Genomic DNA, 19,875 nt, shown 5'->3' on the forward strand with positions numbered 1-19,875 from the left:
CTTCTGCTGTGGTATCTAACAGCTAGGTAAGTCAGGTCTGGTGGTTTGGCATTTGACATATTAAGACACAAAGGTTCTGGACAAGACACCAAAGGAATCTCTCCTGCCCCTTTTGTTAGTAACTGCTGTAATTTCCTAATTTATAAATCTTTGTACACTGTCTGCATCAGGTGTAAAGTAGCCATCCATCACCTGGCTCTCATGACATACTGAGTTGCGTTCCTCCAATAAAATAGTCTCTGCCTTCTCTCATGTTCTACGAAGCCTATGTTGCTAAGTTCTTATGCACATCAAATAATACACCTGTAATCCCAGCACTTTGGGAGGCCGAGGTGGGCAGATCACGAGGTCAAGAGATCGAGACCATCCTGGCCAACATGGTGAAACCCCATCTCTACCAGAAATACAAAAACTAGCTGCGCGTGGTGGCGCCCGCCTGTAGTCCCAGCTACTCGGGAGGCAAAGGCAGGAGAATCGCTTGAACCCGGGAGGCGGAGGTTGCAGTGAGCCGAGATCGTGCCACCGCACTCCAGCCTGGCGACAGAGCGAGACGCCATCTCAGAAAATAACAAAAAATAACAATAAAACGATCCTACCATTATGCCTTGCTTAATGCTTTTGATTTTCCAAGGCATTTTCACACCTGTGACCTTGGTAGTACATGGGCATCTTATTCTTGCTGGACTGGATGAAGTTCCATTCTCCTTCTTCAGTCTCTGATGGTAACTCATCTGTTCACATCCTTAGAGGACAGTTGGGGTGGGGAGGAACGAACACATTCTGCAGTCATACCAGTAGGAATGAAAAGGAGAGATGTAAGATACATTTCAAGAAATCATGTGCAGAATTTGGTATCTGACAGAATATGACAGGGAGGGAGGGGGAGTCCATAGCTCCAGGCAATGTGGCATCAAGATGCTAGGATCCCAGGCCAGTGCCTGAGAAACCTGACAGCATCACCCACAGAAAGAAATTAAGTGTGGAAAGACATGAAAGAAGAAAATGTCCTTCAGGAAACTAGATCTGTAGGACTCTGAGCAGGAAAGATATTGGGTCACAGACAATATGCCCTATAAATTACTAGAATGGTAGATGGTGTAAAGTTTAGCTACATTAGTAGTAAGAGTGTATTGTTTTGTTCATGTAGCTTTTTTTTTTTTCTCTAAGCCAAGCAGTGTGTTAACTGCTTTATACAACAACTCTGCTGGGGGTGGGGTGCCGGGGGCGGGTGGGGGGGGGGTGGTCAATGTTATTAACCCCAGATGAGGAAATACTTGAGAGAGGCTAAATAATATCCTTGATGTCATAGAAGTAGCAAGAGGCAGAAACGAAATTCCAGCTGGTGGTCTTATGTGAAACTAGATTGCACAGTAAGAATGTGTCACATTATAACTTCTCATTATTAGGCAAAACATGTGAGTAGGCAACCCTGCAAAACTAGCAAGTGGGTGACACTATAAAAAGCTAAACAGGATAAATTTTGGATTACCCACCTTCCTGATCTATCTTTAGTGAAATGTCAGTTCCACTCTGTAGTCAAGACTTATGACTAACAGAGTACTGAGCATAGGAAACATCTTAATACATTGTTTAATGAAACAAAGTATTTTAGAGCATGCTGGCAAACTGCATTTAGTTTATAATCTTCCAGCCTTATTCTATATGCATGAGGGAATCATTAGTTCCAGTGTAGTCTTTCCTAGCAGCTTCTGTGTCTACGAACAGAGAGCTGAGAGTGGCCTGACATTCGTTCCAACAATTAGGATTAGCTTAAAATGCTGGGACTTCACTGCATTGCCGCAGTAACTTTTGCAGCTTTTCCCCACTGGAGGTCACTGTCACCTTGCAGTTGCAGAGAAGAACCTCAATTTGTGGTGGTAAAGAAAGTGGACGTTTTCATCTATCTAGGCTGGCTGTAGTTGCTTAAAGAAATCAACCAACCAACCAAAGCAACAATCATTAAAACATACTTCAGATCATGTGGCAAAAAACTGTCCTTAGAAAATTCATCACTGATAGCGCTTGTTTTCAAATAATGTTTCATCTTGACACTTTTTAATTTTTAGGTTACTATAACAGTAGATACATGTTATTATATATTTGTCCAAACCCACAGAATGTGCAGCAACAAGAGTGAACCCTAATGTGAACCATGGACTCTGAGTGATAATGATATGTTAATGTAAGTTTATCCATTGTAAAATATGTCCCACTCTATTGGGATTGTTAATAGTTGATAAATATTTTGAATTCAGTTAAAATTTCTACAAAGAGACCCAAGCACCTGTTTCATATGTTGGGCAAGCGAATGCATTCAAAGATCAGATGGTATATAGCTTCATAACTTTGAGCCAATTCCTGACCTCACTAAGCCTCAGTTTGCTCACCTAAAAGGTAGAGATAAGAATTCTACCAACTTCGGCCAGGCACAGTGGCTCACACCTGGAATCCCAACACTTTGGGAGGCCAAGGCAGGCAGATCACTACTGGAGAGCCTGACCAGAACCAACACAGTGTCTTTTGTGCAGTGGTGGCTCAGTAATGATTTGCTGAGTAAATTAATACAGAATCTAGGCATAAATATTTAAAGGAAAGCTGAGACACTAAGGAATCTTGGGTGAGTCCATCTGACTTTTCCCGGACTTTCAGTTTCTCTTCAGAGAAGGGTTTGAATGAGCTGACCCCCGAAGTTCCTACGCATTAAGGTCCCTAATCTTTGAGTTACAACCTGTGGGTCAGAGCACAGCCTTCAGTGTCCCATTCACTATGGAAACGCCATGACAACCTGTGTGCATCTGAAACCCCAAGTGGAGGCAGCCATGAGTCATGGATTATGTTTATACTGGTATCCAATTGAGCACATAGCATACTATCACCCTCAATGGACTGGCAAATCAGATACTTTTCCCCATTAAAAATGGCAAATGAGGTTTTAAAAAATCATTACAATTAATACAAAATGCCAGGAGGCACTGTACAGGTTGTATCTCCATATTTAAGAAGACCTAGGGCCTAAATATACTTAAGCACATAAGAGAAATGTACTGATAGCAGTACTAACATACAGCATTTTACATTTTACAAAGAACTTTCACACATGCATGGTACTTTATTTGGCCCTAAGAGCAACCCTGTGCAGTAGAGGGGGCTGCAGAAACTGACCTGCATATACTGTTGTGTAAAGAACTTAAAGAACTCCACTGGGAGGGCAGGGCCAGGACTGGAAGCTGCATCTCCTGACCCCAGTGATTCAGCTTGAACAGGATGTTTAACTGTGAAGCACGAAGTTGGGTATAGCAGGACAATCCTTCATGGTGGCATAGAGTGCAAGCTAGGTGCCCACCATGGGGTTCAAAGCCCAGCTCTTTTGCATGTGGGTTTTGGGCAGGTCAGTGAGCCTTCCTGGGTCTCCACTGTAAAGTGGAGGAAATAGTACCTACCTCATGGCTGACAGTGAGACTTTAAAGGCATCAGAATAGGTGCACCTCTCCTTGTCCTCCGCGCATGCTCTCCCCCACCTCTGCTCCAGCCAGTACTGTGGCAACCAGCTCCATAGAGGTCTAGTCTGAAAGTGCTTCACCTCAGGCCACTGCATTACGCCTTCTTCCCAGGGTTCTCTGGCATTGCTGCGGGACCTTCTTGGGAACTGGCATTTATGCATATGCAACTGAAAATGCCAGGGGGATAGTCACTCCACAAGACCCCCGATGGTGGAGATGGCGCCCGGGGAATCAGTGCCAATTGCCTGCTTCAGTCCTATGGGCAGGTGGCTCTGAGGTCATCCTGTCTGAAGTAGCCAGTTTGGCAACTCAACCTTGTTGGGGCTTCTTTCCTTCCCTGTTTCATACTCCTCCAGCCCCCACACCTATTCCCTGGAGTCAGTTCACAAAACAAGCCACCCTCACGCATGCTTGGGCTCTGCTTTCTGGTAGGAACTCAGGAATGACATCGTAGAGACATGGTGCTGGGCACATAAGAAATCCTACATAAACTTTACCTGTTCCTCATTTTCTATACTAAACGCTGCCTACGATCAGTCTTCTCCATGTCTGCTCTCTTGAAGGAAGTGGACTTTGTTGTTGTCACCATGTGGTGGGCAGAAAATGACAAATAAGTGAAAGGGCCAAATACCACAGGGCAAAGACCTGGAATAGCTTCCTGAGTCGGATGTCCAGAGACTGACTTTGGGCCACTTCATTGCAAGAGACTTTAGGTGGTTTTAGATCATACAGTAACAAACCGTTTTTAAAACTTATGTGTGTGTTACTGTGCATTAGAAATCTATAAATAAAACATCAAAACCATGATTTCACTTTATTTTTGCTTTGGCTAAAAATGTTTTAAATGACTCATATGAAAAATATTAATAGGAATAAAGATAGCATGTAAATATAGCAAAAATCATGATAGTGGTGTGTGAAAAAAAGATCTGGGAAACTAATAGATAAATGTGCCTTTTATAACCATTATGTTTTAGGTAAGTGGATAGGATCGTAGTTTGGGCATCTATATTTAGGAATTTTGTTATCAAGTATGCTAACCATTCTCTTACTTAGGTACACAGACTTGATTTGCCACATTTGTATTTTTGACGACGTTGTTCTAACTTTCAGGGAGAGCAAATAAAGGTCTTTTTCTCATATTAAAACAACAGAAATGGCATAAAACTATCATAATTTTAATTACTCTAAGAAGCTGAAACAACATACACATAAGTTGACTCATCTGTGCATTTGGTCAAGGACACTCAGAATTTACATGGGCAGGTACCTATACACAGTACATTGGAAAACCTTTTTACTGCTCTCTGTCTTGAATGGATATAGAGCACATTCATATCATAAATAGGATTCACTGATACCTCTAGAAAAGACAGTTCTTAAAACTGCTGTGCTTGTAGATATTTCAAAGACAATAGTTTGCTCACATTTCTAAATATTCATTAGCAATAAGAAAAGCTATGAGGACATGTTGTACACTCTAATTTAGGAGAGATTTTCTTCATGGCTAAAAAGTTGCAAAAACATTCTGAAATATACATCCACAATACTCCTAATTAACTCACACAACTTGTTGGCCTTTTCACTGGGAAATGCTCTGAGGGCTACAATCTCATAGCTTGAGTGAGTAACACATTCTTTTCCACATGGAAGATGAAAGCCCTTAGTATTTCCCATAGGAGAAATGTAGTCCTCTTGGCATCTCCCACAGGAGATACGATAAACAGCGAAAAATGATTAACACTTGGGCAACAGTGACTGCCTAAAAACACAGACTTAACTATGATGTTAGGTCAGACCTAAAGAGAATTATAATGTTTTATGATTGCTTACTTAAAAAAAAAACTCTTCCTTTCTTCCATCTCTTTCACTTTGTCCTCAACTAAGACAGATCAGATGATTGACAAGCCATTCCAAGATTGGGCAATTCCTCTTCATATGAACTTGATGCTCCAGAAATATTTGCTGTGGAAAGGTCCCCGGGAAAGGCGCAGGCCATGCGGAAAGGCTGACTCCTAGAGCTCTCCGACTTCTGAACACCAACAAGATGCCGAGTTGGTGGCTTCTTGTTGAATAAGAATAAATAAGGCATTTGACCCAGCCATCCCATTACTGGGTATATACCCAAAGGATTATAAATCATGCTGCTATAAAGACACATGCACACGTATGTTTACTGTGGCACTATTCACAATAGCAAAGACTTGGAACCAACCCAAATGTCCAACAATGATAGACTGGATTAAGAAAATGTGGCACATATACACCATGGAATACTATGCAGCCATAAAAAATGATGAGTTCATGTCCTTTGTAGGGACATGGATGAAATTGGAAATCATCATTCTCAGTAAACTATCGCAAGGACAAAAAACCGAACACCGCATGTTCTCACTCATAGATGGGAATTGAACAATGAGAACACGTGGACACAGGAAGGGGAACATCACACTCTGGGGACTGTTGTGGGGTGGGGGGAGGGGGGAGGGATAGCATTAGGAGATATACCTAATGCTAAATGACGAGTTAATGGGTGCAGCACACCAGCATGGCACATGTATACATATGTAACAAACCTGCACATTGTGCACATGTACCCTAAAACTTAAAGTATAATAATAAAAATAAATAAATAAGGCATTTATACACAGGTGTAGGGATAGATTGTCTAACTCCCCTAGAGAAATTTTTTTAACTGCATGCATTGTCAATGGGGCAATAGCACCCCAAAGGAATGAAAATTGGTTCTTCTGGGGGCATGTGAAGAAAATCTTACTCTTTTTACGTATAAAGCACAGAGGTACAAACAATGCATCAACAGCTATGCAGTATACATGTGGTATTAAAATTTAATGGGAGGAGTCAACTAAGGGGAAAAAACCCTAAAAAGTCTAGGAGGGGGTGGATGATAATGAAAACAAGGCTGAGAAACACCGCCATAAACCCACCTTCAGACAGGAACAATGATTCAGACTGTTTTCCATAGTGCTTTCTAAACTGTTGTATATTGTTTTAAAAATAATTTATCATATGCTAATTGATAAGAGAGTCAAATATGTGCAAAGAGCTGTCTTCCCCAAAATGAATACCCTCTCTTGAAAAGTGCTAAAATTCTTAGAATAGGAATTATTTGTCTTCTTCCAGAATTCTGCTACGCTTCTGACTGAATTCCATTCCTGGAATAGCTATGGTGTTACATGAAATGCATTATCAGGCGACAGCTCAAAGGAGAAAGCAGAGAAGGCTATGCTCAGAAGGGCTGATCACTGCAGGTGCTGTGTTTGCAATCGATTTCTTAGTAAGAGTAGAAGCACTTTTGCTTCTGTTTTATTTTCTTTTCATAAGTCATATAAGAAGTAGGAGAAGGAAGAGATACGGACATTATTTTTAGCTCTCACAAACAAAAACAGATCACTAACTTTAATATGCACAGGGAATCCCTGCCCGTGAGGTTCCCCAAAAGTTGGTGCAAGTGTTTGAAATGTGCCACATGCCACTATTATTACCTCAACTGCCCCTAAGACCAGGGCCCTGGGCAAAGATTCAGCCAGGGCATGCATTCCATTTACTTTGGCAAGCGTCACTCCCAGGTTGGAAACATTCGAACAAAATGAATCTGTCTTAGATAAAGGTGATTTTACTACCTGCACGTCCTCAAGAGCAGGAGTCTGCCAGTGGCCTCCCCGGGTCATCACGAACCGGATCAAGCACCAGAGAACTGAAGACGAGAGAAGGCACACGCTACCTACAACCCAGACGTCTTTTCTTCTGAGTGTGAAGTCCATTCTTTGGGAGCAGCTGTGGATGTTGCTTGGCTTATATGTTCCTTCCCTGCCCTGATCTAGCACCAGCACTTCTCAAGCAGTGTCACCCTTTGCTCTGCCCTGAGGAGTGGGTGTCACCGAATTACAGAGGGTTCTTGCAGAGTCCTGCACTGGACGTCTCCAGTTACGTGATCAGCAAATAATCTGCCTCTTTAAAAGGAAAAATACGATGGCCTTGTGTGACAGATCTGAAACAGGTGTAGGGGCATTGGGAGACTGCTGGCAATAATTTACGACGCTGTGAATGCGTATTTGTTCCCAGTTCAAGGACAATTAGCACCACTGTATCTGGCAACTGCTGGCTGCCGAGGCTGGGCCACTGCCAGGGAGCTTTCTCCTGCCCTTACAGGGTGAGGAGCACAGGGATGGAGGTGGCGAAATGCAACTTGAAAAATCACAAAACCTCTGCCCTCAGCCTTGTTATTTTGAGATCTAAGTTATAGTCATTACGGATGGTGCTGATGGTACAATTTCACAGCAGATGGTCAGGAAATGCCACCTGGTGTTAAATCCACCAACTGCAATCAAAATAGGAAAATCCACACTTTACTCCAACCCACTGTCCCTCTGCACATCCTGTTAATAAATATTTTGCTTTGCTTGGTCTTGGGAGCATTTGTACCGGGCATTTAAACACTCCAGGGACAGTGGGGTCCCGAGTCTGCTGGGGCCATGCTTGTTTCTACCCCCACAGCTTTGGGATACCCCCTGGTTGGGATATGGAAGAACTTAAGCCAGGTTTTAAAAAGGAATTATTCCCTATGAAGGAAGGCTTTCAAACACAAATCAACAAGGGTTAGGATAAATTCAGAAATGATTTGCTTAGGGGTCTTCCAGGCGCGGATGTGGAACGGTGGGCTATGCTGACATATTTTTGTAGAGTGAGCATTCACAACCTGTGTCCTACTTTTATACTTGGGACCATGCCTTTTGGATGGAGGATGAGTAACTAGGGGTGAACAGGCAGGTGGGGAAAACCAACGGAGGAGGAGGAGAGCACAGACAACCCCGGGCCTCAGGAGCAGGGATGGGGGTGGTACACCGAGGAAAGCAGTGAGAAGCACGCAGGGCCGAATGGTTGGCTGAGAATATCACCAGGCACATTTGTGTTTCATTAAGCAAAGGGGTGTGGGGGTGTATATGAGACAGAGATCCTACTAAATATTCAAGTAAATCTGGGGGAAATACAACACGAGGGCTATTTACTATATAGATAACAGAGAACTGACAAAAGAAAAAAAACCCAGATTCAACTGTACAAAAATAATACTAATTATAGTTATGAAACCTGTTCATCATTTATAACTTAATGGTATGGACACAGTAGCTATCGAGCTCATCACTCATATGAGTCAGACCAATTTGGTCTTGTAAATTTTACTTGATTTCAACACCACACCGTGTACGTATGTTTAGATCTAGTTTATTATGGCATATGGTTATCTGCTGAAAACTTTTAAAATTTTACACAGTAGGTAGAATTTAGGTGATTTTGAACAGCCTTTGGAACATAATAGAATAAGAAAAGTCATTAGAAAACAGAATAAAAAGGAAAGTAGGAAAAATAGGCCACACACAGCAGCTCATGCCTGTAATTCCAGCACTCTGGGAGGCCAAGGTGGGAGGATCACTTCAGCACAGGAGTTCAAGACCAGTCTGAGCAACACATGGAGACCCCTGTCTCTACAAAAAAATACAGAAAGTAGCCATGGGTGGTGGTGCATGCCTAGTCCCAGCTACTTGGGAGGCTGAGGCAGGAGAATCACTTGAGCCAGGGAGGTCAAAGCTGCAGTGAGCTGAGATCACACCACTGCAATCCAGCCTGGGCGACAGAGTGAGAAGCTGTCTCAAAAAAAAAAAAAGAAACAAACAAACAAGAAAAATTAAAAGAACAAGGCCGGGCACGGTGGCTCACGCCTGTAATCTCAGCACTTTGGGAGGCCAAGGCAGGTGGATCATGAGGTCAGGAGTTTGAGACCAGCCTGACCAATGTGGTGAAACCCCGTCTCTACTAAAAATACAAAAAAAAATATAAAAAAAAATGAGTCAGGCGTGGTTGCGTGCGCCTGTAATCCCGGCTACTCAGGAGGCTAAGGCAGGAGAATTGCTTCAACCTGGGAGACGGAGGTTGCAGTGAGCTGAGATCGCACCACTGCACTCCAGCCTGGGTGACAGAGCAAGACTCCGTCTCAAAAAAAGAAAAAAAGAAAAAAAGAAAGAAAGAAAAATTAAAAGAACAAGAACTACTTAAGTAGAAGGAAGAAAAGAAGGCTATGAAGTGTTTCATAAACTCAGTAAAACATAGAGGAAAGAAGGAAGATGGCTAAAAATGAATTCAGTAGAAGAAAAATAAAAGAAATAGAAAAATCTGATTAAGAGCAGGAAAACAAAAAGAATCTGAGTTTTATCAAACTATTTTAACAAATATAAGTTGTTAAATCTATATAAAATTCTTCCCCTATTGGGACTGGAGAGTAGTTCCAGACTCTAAAGAAACTGCACTGCAAGCTTCCAGAACAAAGCTTTCATGTCACCAGAGTCTGAAATTCAGAGTACATTCTTTCCAGTGCACCACAGGGGATGTTTCTACTATGATTAGCCGTGCTAATCCCCTCAAAGAGAGAAGGGATGAGAGAGAAAGGGGAATAGGTGGAGAAAATCGACAAGCATGTTTTTATAGTCCCTGGAGAGAAAAGCGTGGCATTTTAAAGATTTACTGCTGCCCCAGCAGAAGATGAAGACGTGTTAATCTAGCTCTGTCTGCATACCTGAAGACATCTGAGCTGCTGGAATGTCCTTCTCCACCCACCCGCTGCCAAGCCTGCTGGCTGCCCTGGCACCCACCAACTAGGCAGGCAGGGGCTCCAGGCCATGGAAAGGAGAACTCTGTGCCTCTGACACATGCACCTATCCATTCTCCACGTGGACGGAGAGAGACAGGGAAATTTATTGCAGACATCTCTAGGCCCTTCTCCATTTACAAGTAAGAAATTGAATGGGACACATGGAGCTCCTAGTGATTCCTTCCCACCTTCCACAGGGTGTCAACTGCAGGACGGAAGCCAGGAGGCCCAAGTTACAGAAGGGATATGAGACTTACTATAAAGGACATTCTCTGATGGTTTCTAGGGGTTAAATAGCAGTCTCAATTTTTCCCTCAAAAACACCCTAAAAATATTTAACTTCCAAATCATCAACTTCTGGATGTAGTTGGCTGCACAAAAGTAACATCCCTACATATATTTATGTTCCAACTTAGCACTATCGCACTCTTTTTTTTTATCTTCAGAAACAGGGTCTTCCTCTGTTGCCCACGCTGGAGTGCAGTGGTGTGATCATAGCTCACTGCATCCTTGAACTCCCGGGCTCAAGCAATCCTCCTGCCTCAGCCTCCCAAGTAGCTGGGACTACAGATGTGTGCCACCATGCCCGCTATTTTATTTGTATTTTTTTATTTTTGTAGAAATAGACATCTCACCATGTCACCTGGGCTGGTCTCAAACTCCTGGCCTCCAGTGATTCTCTTGCCCCAGCCTCCCAAAGTGCTGGGATTACAGGTATGAGCCATGTGTCCTGCTTATCTCACTCTTTAGAGTGTTGCCCATTTATAAAAATTGTATCATAGATTTTGGAGAAAAACAGTACTTGAAAGATAATGAAATTCATATAAACTATTACAGTTAGTTGATGATTTCAAAGTTCTCCAAGAAGAATATTTTGTCTTCTCTGTCCTACCGAAATTAATAAACAGAAAAAATTATCCTGTTTGTACCACTGAAAACCCTAATGAGAAAGTCATGTCTCACTTAATTTTGCCTGTAGATATTTCTCCTTGGTCTATATTGAACTCATGGGGAAAGCAGAGGTCTCAAAAAAATGTTTCAATCTGATTCATTTATTCTCTCCAGCACATTTTGTCATTTCTTATTCACTTACAATAAAAAGCCTCCTAGACCTTTTATATACAATCTCTCTATTTCATTGTCTATTGCATTGTTAGAAACGCCCTTCCTACCTGAATAGTGTTTTTTAGAACAGTAGCTGGGCAAAGAAGGATGTTTTCCAAACCTGCCTGATAAGAATCACTTGCTCTGATTATCAAAAATAATGGTTCCCAGCCCTCAACCAGAATTCACTTAAATAGATCTGTGCATTCCAAAAACACTTTTGGTGCCTATTTGTTTCCGTTACTAGGAAAGCAACTGAGGAAACATGAACAAATAACACGAGGTTTCCCAACCTTAAGGAGCCTTGTCTAGAGAAAGGTGATCAACATGTTCAAAACCACCACATGTGCTGGAATGAAGGCACGGGCAAAATGCTTGATGCTCCCACCGGGCAAGGAGCCAACGGATGATGGGCAGGAACTGACTGGGCCAAGGCAGGGGAGGTAATTGCTGCTGCCGCTAACACATATTAAATGCTGACTCTAGTGACAGATACTAGGCGGAGTGCTTTACAGACGTGATCACACTTAATTTTCACAATTGCTATTATCTCACTAATTCAGATGTGGCAAGCCCTTGGTTAAATTAATATTTTTCCCAAGAACGAGCAGCTGGAATGGGGCTCAGAACTCTCGTTCTGCACAGAGGAGGGTACAAGCCCCACCGTCGTGCCATCAGCAAGTCTTTCTTGTCCCTTCTCTGGACTTCACTATCAACAGCTCTGCTGTCTACCGCGTGAGGAACTCAAGATCTGAAGGAAAAAGGAGAAACTTCTTTCTGCAGAACAGTGTGCCTCTCAGAGCCCTTTTCTGAATTTCAAGCCCAAATCCATCATGCTAAAGGATTCTTCTTCATTTCTGCAAGCTGGCTGTATAACTCCTAAGCCACTAACTAAAAGTGAAGTCGACTGCTGGCAGAAATGCAGTTTCAAAGGCCTCCTAATTATTTACCAAACACAATTGTATAGTCGACACACACAATTCTCACTGAAGCAAAGTGGAATGATGCCTATTCATAAACTTTCCTTAATTGTACTCACAAGCGGCTCCATGACATTAGAAAAGATAAGATAGAATGAATACTTTTTAGGAGACTAAATTAGAACATGATTACCTCATTATGTCCAGATCTTGAATCCTGGTCCCCAGAATTTTTTTCCAGAAAACACTTCACTTTCTCCACCTCTTCCCTGCACTGAAAAAAGGCCATTTTCTCCAGCTGGTTGCTGTTATAACACGTGTTGAATTCTTCCAGCCTCTTCACTTTTAACATCTTAGTAGTGAGTCCGATTAAGCTACTTTCTGGAGTGTGGTTTTCGTCTCCCTCTGTCTCCGATTTATAAATCAGGACACAATTATGACTCTTCAGTGCTTCTTTCTCTTGACTGCAAAGAAAGGAAACACAAAAAGTTCTCATCACGTATTCATGCATTTGACTTCTTGAGAAAATGACCAGTGAGAATTTGGAAGTCCCTTCTGTTTAAACTGGAGAGAGGATCCAAAATCAGGAAAAGAAATACTAACATTCATATTGAGTTTCCAACATTGGAACTTTAAAAGGAAAAAAAATTTTTTCACTTTAAAACTACAAAAGCAAACAGTAAGAAGCAATGTCAAGATTCACTGGTGATGAAATATGCTCCTTATTGCACAAAACAAGCCGTAGATCAAGTGGCCAGCTTGGATGTAAATTATAAAGTATCTTTGGGTTTAATTGGAACCGCAGGTTTTGCAGCCCCGTGGGAAGGGCTTATCACAGAAGGGGTCTCTCTGCTTCCCCTGGCCTCCCTCTGCAGAGGGATCGCTCCCGAATGAGTCCTTTTCCAGAACTCTTCTCTACCTATGCCTTAAAATGTGTGGTGTTTATTTGTGAAAAGAAATTTATTTCCTTACAGTCTTCTCACGTGGACAGCACTCCCAGATACCTTTCCTTGCATCTGCATTAACAGCTATGTACCGAGAAGTTCAGAGTCTTTTCACTCTCCTTAAAATACTTTCCTCGCAAATGAAGTAATGCAGCATACATAATTCGCTTTGATACTAGAGACATATACGCATGTCTATATGTACACATCACTTGATTGCATAGAGAGGCAGGGAGAGGGAGAGACATTTGAATTTGTGCTAGTTCCGCATGGCTGACAACTGAGGCCCCCTGGTGGAGATTTTCCGAAAAGCGCCTCTTCGAGCATTTTCTCCGCTTAAAAACCGTATTGTGATTCTCATCAGAAAACTTAATATTTTGTTTTGTCAGTTCCTATAGTAAAATGATACTCTTGAGTTCCAAAGTGTTTAAAATTCACTGCTCTAACAAATTATACTTATCCACATAAAGAGCTTACATTCAAACAAATAAAAATGCAAATATTAATACTATCAACCAGAGCTCTACAGATATATTACAGATCATTCTTAGCATTCTTTCAAATTGCCCTGAAAAAATTATTAAAATAAGGAAACAAATGCATGGCTATTTCTAAGGCAAACTACGACTAAAATACTATGGTTAATTGCAGATGAAACTCAAGTTGGATCAGGAAGCCACACAAAATTAATGTATTAAAACAAAAGCTTAGGATTAAGATACAATAATTTTGCAAAGAAATATTAAACATTAAGCTCTACCTGAAGTTTGGTACAATTTGTTATTGAAGGTAACTTAGAAAAAAGGGGAGGAGATTTGAGAGGTTATAACAATAAACAAAGATAATTACCATTGATAGGATCACATCGAAGAGCTTGAGCCACTCCAAGTCTAGAGCATACATTCCAGAAGATAAAGAGAAATTTTGCAGAATTCAAACTGACTATGAAAGTCTCTGGTAAAAGTTTTGACTCTCAGTCGTATAAATCTTCTGAAAAGACAAGTGTCCACTACGAGAGGAAGTATCTTCTCTCTCAAATGCCACTTTCAGCCCCTGTTTAAATTAATATGGCTCTTGATCTCACGTTGCTCAGCTGTTGCCTTCTTAGTCAGATGGGGAAGAATATTAATTTTAGACACCAGGCTTTTCAAGGCCAATGGCTCCATTTCAGAGGTCAGGTAAGGAGAGGATGAACCGGGAACACTGGATGAAATATCACCTTCACCTTTCCCTCGTATCATTGTGTCAATACTCTCGGATTTACAAAGCTAGATTTGTCCTCGGCAATCATCTGCCTGGACCTTCTGCCCCTTTCAGACTCAGGATTATTTAAGTGCTCATTAAATTTCCCCCAGTAGGGAAAATGCCAGGTGTGGCAACCCCACAGCCACCTCTGTTTGCCCATCTTACGCTTTGAGCATATCCAACTGCAATATAGAAGATCTTCTGAAAGCAGTTAGCAAGTTTGTTTTATTTTTCTCAGTTCTTAAAGATGTTTGCAAAGTCTCCAACCATTTCTAGCTCTAGGGAAAGGTCAAAGGCACAGGCATCCAGGAAACAGGAATAAATTTTTCATAAATTCTCCTTAAGCAACACTAGGACTTCATCCGTAGTTTTCTGCACAGACCAAGAAAGGGGAATTTCAACCCACCTGCCCGACTCTCACAGTAGTGCATCCCTAGATTCACTGAAGTGGCATAAAACTTTGATTGCCCAGAGGCTGGACTTTGCAGTCTTGAAAACCCTGCAATTTTTCAGGGCCTGGCCAATTGTCACCTCTTATTTGGAGCCTGTGTTAGCCCCTCTATGCCCCATTCTAACACCAGCCTCTGCTGCTCTTCTGCTTCTTTTAAAAAAAAAACCTTATTTTTAATTCAGATCGATGCATTCCATGTGAAATAAAAATACATATTTTTCCATTTTATGTAGTATTAATGAATTACAGCAAAATCTTTTTTAAAACACAAAACGCTTGTTATTTTTCAGATTGGAGAGCTTTGTTCTTCAGCAAAAGTAATGAAGTGGAACTATAAATTTGTGGAGATAAATTATCTGACAAAAGTATTATACAAAGACTAAGCTGGTTTGAGGTTACCAATTTTGTTAGTATAATTAAATTGTGTAGAAGTACTGATAAGGCAACAAATGCCCTGCCAGAGGCAAGATGTGTGTGGGCTGCTGCTGATCCAACCACATCCTCCACCCGGACCACCACCACGCAAAAGCAGACTTCCTATCTCGTTGGCTCCAGCAAACCAACCACAGGCTTGAGTGAGCCAGAGGCCAGGAGAATCTGCTCCTTAGCTTATTTTTTTGTAATAAACTTTTCCTTTTAGAGTAGTTTTACATCTACAGAAAAGGTGCAAAGGTAGTTCAGAGTTCCCCTTGCCCTGCACCCCGAATCCTCTGTTTTTAACATCTTACGTTGGTATGGTATACTTGTCACAATTAATGAACCATGGTGAACGTTATTATTAACTAAACTCAATACTTTATTGTTGCTGGGTTTTTTTTTTCCCCAAATGCCCCTTTTCTGTTCCAGAATCCCATGCAGGATTCCACAGTACATTTAGAATCAGTAGGATTTATGATAGATTGGGTATGGGGTATGAAAGAAAGATGGTAGACACCTTTGCATATTTTCTTCTGAGCACTTGAAAGACAGAGTGAACATTAACTGAGATGGAGACGGCTGTGGGAAGGGCAACTCTGGAGGGAAAGGTCAGGCATGAAGTCTTTGGCAAGTCCATTAAACGTTCAAGTTGAATAGGCTGTGGAGATAGAAACTGGAGTTCCGGGGAGGGGTGTAGGCTGGAGATAAGAATTTGGAAGGCATCCACATATAGACATTTCCATGCACAATATACATTCAATACATATTTGATTAATGACTAGATAGAATGATCTTTAATTGTGTCTACTTGCCCTAAAAAGCAAGTCAATTAAAATAATCCATGCTAAAAGTGACTGATTGTCTGGTTCTGCTGCATCACACTGTTCCCAGCTTCCGATGGCATACAGGACAAGCACACTGCTGGCACAACCCTTGACCACAAAAAAACAGGTTATACATGCATACTCATTCTGGTCTATCAGCCTAGCCTCAGGATCCTAAGTCCATACCCATAAAATGTTCTGCATGCTTAAAGATGCTCTTATACCCGGAAAAATTCATTAGTGAGGAATATGAGCAGGCCCAGGAACACTTTTCCAGTATTTCCATATTTTGGAGTTATACTTCTCTAAAAAATACCAACATCAGGAAAACAGCACCCTACAGAGCCATGGAAAAGAATCCCTTGATTTTTTTCAAGGGACATTTCCATTAGCTGAGTAAGAGACTGTGTTGTCAAAGGAGCCACATGAAGAAACATCGTCGACAGCTCTTGTCTACGGGTTGGCATTGAAACCCGGCTGGATTACACTAAGAGTTTTTGTTTCTACACAGCGTTCTGAATGTTTCCAGAACAAGACCTCTTGAATGTTTACACACAAAAGCGGAGCAACAGTACAAATACCCAAATGCAAATAAAAAGCTACTGCATCCCTGTTACCCACATTACAATAGAACTTCCTTACTTTCAAAAATCACCACTGAATACGACCCATAAAAACGAAGATTGATAAATTGCACTTCTTCAAAATTCAAAACGTTTGCCTTTGAAAAAACACTATTAGGAAAATGAAAAGACACTATTATGAAAATGAAAAGACCAGCTACAGATGTATAGAAAATACTGTGAAGTCACATATTTGACAAAGGACTGCATCTAGCATATACAACTTAATAATATATGACAAAACATTCCAGTTTTTTAAATGGACAAAAGATTAAAACAGACCTCACCAAAGAAGATATAAAAATGGTTAATAAGCACATGAAAAAAAATGCTCAAAATCAGTCATCAGGGAGATGCAAATTAAAACCACAAGGAAACATCATTTCACACCCACTAGGAGAGCTGTAATAATAATGAAAAAAATAAAAGATAGGTTGGGTGTGGTGGCTCACACCTGTAATCCTAGCACTTTGGGAGGCCAAGACAGGAGGATCACTTCAGTCCAGGAGTTTGAGACCAGCCTGGGCAACATAGCAAGACCCCATCTCTACCAAAAAAAAAAAAAAAAAGACAGAGAAAAGCAAGTGTTGACAAGGATGTGGAAAAACTGGAACCCTCACCAAATATGTTGATGGGAATATAAAATGATACAGGTGTCTTATAAAAGAGGTTGGCAATTTCTTAAAAAGTTATTTCCCATATGACCTAGAAATTCTTCTCCTAGGTATCTACCCAAGAGAAATGAAAACATATGAACACAGAAACCATGGCACATGAATGTTCACAGCAGCATTATTCACAATAGCCAAAAACTGAAAACAACCAAAATGTCCATCGGATGATTTGGAGACTGGGAAAAGATAATGTGGTATACACATACAAATGGAATACTACGTAATTAAAAGGAATGAAATACTGGTATCTACTACAATATGGATGAGCGAAAACACTGTGCTAATTGAAAAAAAAAAGCCAGAAACATAGAGCACAGATTGTATGATTCCATTTGTATAAAATGCTCAGAAAAGACAAATCTATAGACGTAGAAAGCAGACTGGTGGTTGCCGGGGGCTGGGTGCAGGAATGGGGGTTAATTGTAAACAGAATCTTACCCGATGATGTGTGGTAGTGATGACTGTACAACTCATTCAGTTTCTTAAAACAATGCAGAATTGTGCACTTGAGATGGGTGAATTTTATAATATGTAAATTATACTTCAATAGAGTCATTAAGAAAAAGAAAACCCAATAATATGATTAACAAAAAGTAGCTTGTTAAAAGGAGAGGAAAAAACTGAACACTTTGTGGTCATCTGTCCCCAGTGACCAAGGCTGGGATCCAGGGAAACATAAATTATATTCCACACTTGCCAGGTCACCTAGGGCCAAAGAAAAGGAATGGTGAGCAGGAGACAGTTAAGAGTCTCACGCTTTTCTTCTCCTGGCATGAATATCATGCAATATAAGATTTTGTAATTAATAGAAAAATTAATAGTAATTTTAAAAGTAATTTCTATCTTTTATTTTCTGCTTGGAGATAGGATACTTTGAGCAAGAAAGATAATGATGTTATGGAATATCCAGATTTCTTTACAGGAAATTTTGATATTAGACCACTAAAACTTCTAAGTGACAGCAATTAGCTAAGTATTACGAAATACAAAAATGAAAATAAAACAGGTTTTAAAAATTAGATAAAAATATGGATTGGATCATTTAAAAATTAATATTTTTCAGAAATATTACATAAAGTTTCAGTTTATTACCTCTACAGTGGCTACACAAATTGTTCCTTTAATTATATCCCTTAAACTTTCTAAGGGATATTTGCAAGCATAGTACAATGAATACCTATACATCCTTCACCCATATTCACCAAATGTTAGCATTTTCCATGTTTGCCCTCTCTCTCTCTTTTGCGAGTAAGATGCATATCTCATGAAACTTTACCCCTATATGAATTGGTGTATGTTTCTTGAGAAAAAAGACACTTTCTCACATAACAGAATCTACTCAAAAATTACATAGCGCATTTAATCACCATGTCTTCTTAGTCTCCTTTTATCTATTTAGGAAATGGTCATTCCGTTTATTTTATTTTATTTTACTTTTTGAGACAAGGTCTCACTCTGTTGCTTGTGCTGGAGTGCAGTGGCGTGAACACAGCTCACTGCAGCCTTGACCTTGGCTCAAGTGATCCTCCTGCCTCAGCCCTCCAAGTAGCTGGGACTATTGGCAGGCACCACCACACCAGGCTAAGTTTTGTATTTTTTGTGGAGATGAGGCTTCCTAGTCTCTCTCTCTTTTTTGTAATCCTTCATGACATTGATATTTTTGAAGTCTTTGGACAAATTGTTTCATAAAATGTCTCTCAATTCTAATTTCCTGATTGTGTCTTCATGCTTGGAACCAGGTTATACCTGAGCATGAAAACTACAGAAGTGACACTGTATCTTTTTCAGAACATCACAAAAGGTGGCACATGATGTCGGTTTGTGCCATTATTCGTGATATTAAATTTGGTGATCTGATTAAGGTTGTGTCCACCAGACTTCTCAAATGTAAAACTAACCCTTTTATTTTTGTGATTGATAAATAACTTGTGGGAATTTATAGGTATCATGTTCCCCAACAATGCATCACCCAACGTTTCTCAGTATCTATTCTTGAGAATCAATGATTACCACAGAGACTGTGAAATGATTTTCTAATTCTGCCATTTCTTCTATACTTATTAATTGGTATTCTTTTATAAAGAAGAGCTTTCCATCCCCATCCTGAACCTCACTCTCTTTAGTATCAGGATGAGCTTATGGCCTTTTAAAAATGGACATACACTCCCTATATTCTTTATTTTGAAGCTCAAATTGTCCCATATTGGCCAACGGAAGTGCCTTCAAGCTGGCTCCTATGTACTTTTGATATGTCATTATTATTTTTTGAGTACTTCCTTACTTTCAGTACTGTTTTCACCCTGTTTCTGAATTCTGCCATTTCTTCAAGGAGCCCTCCTTCCTCTTAGGCAGAATGGTATTTAGAAATCAAGCCCTGGGCACCAGGAGTGTTTTTTGCTACGGGGGTGTCACTGTAGACACTTCAGAGGACAGAGAGAGGAAATATAATTCTTTCTAAAAAATCATGAGTTCACACTCATACTGATATATTTCTATTTCCAAACCA

At 40.6% G+C, this 19,875-nt stretch overlaps 1 protein-coding gene across 5 annotated transcripts in view, besides 1 other annotated feature; it reads right to left on the reverse strand.

Moving 5' to 3' along the window:
* The window catches only part of MYLK4 (myosin light chain kinase family member 4), a 106,740-nt gene that overhangs the window by 73,115 nt on the left and 13,750 nt on the right, over positions 1-19,875 (reverse strand). For 3 of the 5 annotated variants that reach the window (XR_926185.4, NM_001347872.2, XM_005249078.5), the window contains exon 2: positions 12,385-12,655. Coding sequence is in view for 4 of the 5 variants with exons in the window: in NM_001347872.2 (NP_001334801.1) it covers positions 12,385-12,655 (271 nt within the window). In the remaining variant the exon portion in view is untranslated. Of the gene's footprint in view, positions 1-7,144; positions 7,455-12,384; positions 12,656-13,984; positions 14,172-19,875 lie in introns of those variants that run through there. The other 2 variants (NM_001012418.5, XM_006715082.4) reach the window with 2 other exon arrangements.
* Positions 15,744-16,038: a silencer, noted in NCBI's record as "tiled region #12436; HepG2 Repressive non-DNase unmatched - State 20:ReprD, and K562 Repressive DNase matched - State 5:Enh". NCBI's record gives its function as "represses a minimal TATA promoter and a strong SV40 promoter by Sharpr-MPRA in HepG2 and K562 cells {active_cell/tissue: HepG2 | K562}" and the evidence as "EXISTENCE:reporter gene assay evidence [ECO:0000049][PMID:27701403]".

This window comes from Homo sapiens, chromosome 6 (genome assembly GCF_000001405.40).
Source record: "Homo sapiens chromosome 6, GRCh38.p14 Primary Assembly".
Taxonomy (NCBI): domain Eukaryota; kingdom Metazoa; phylum Chordata; class Mammalia; order Primates; family Hominidae; genus Homo; species Homo sapiens.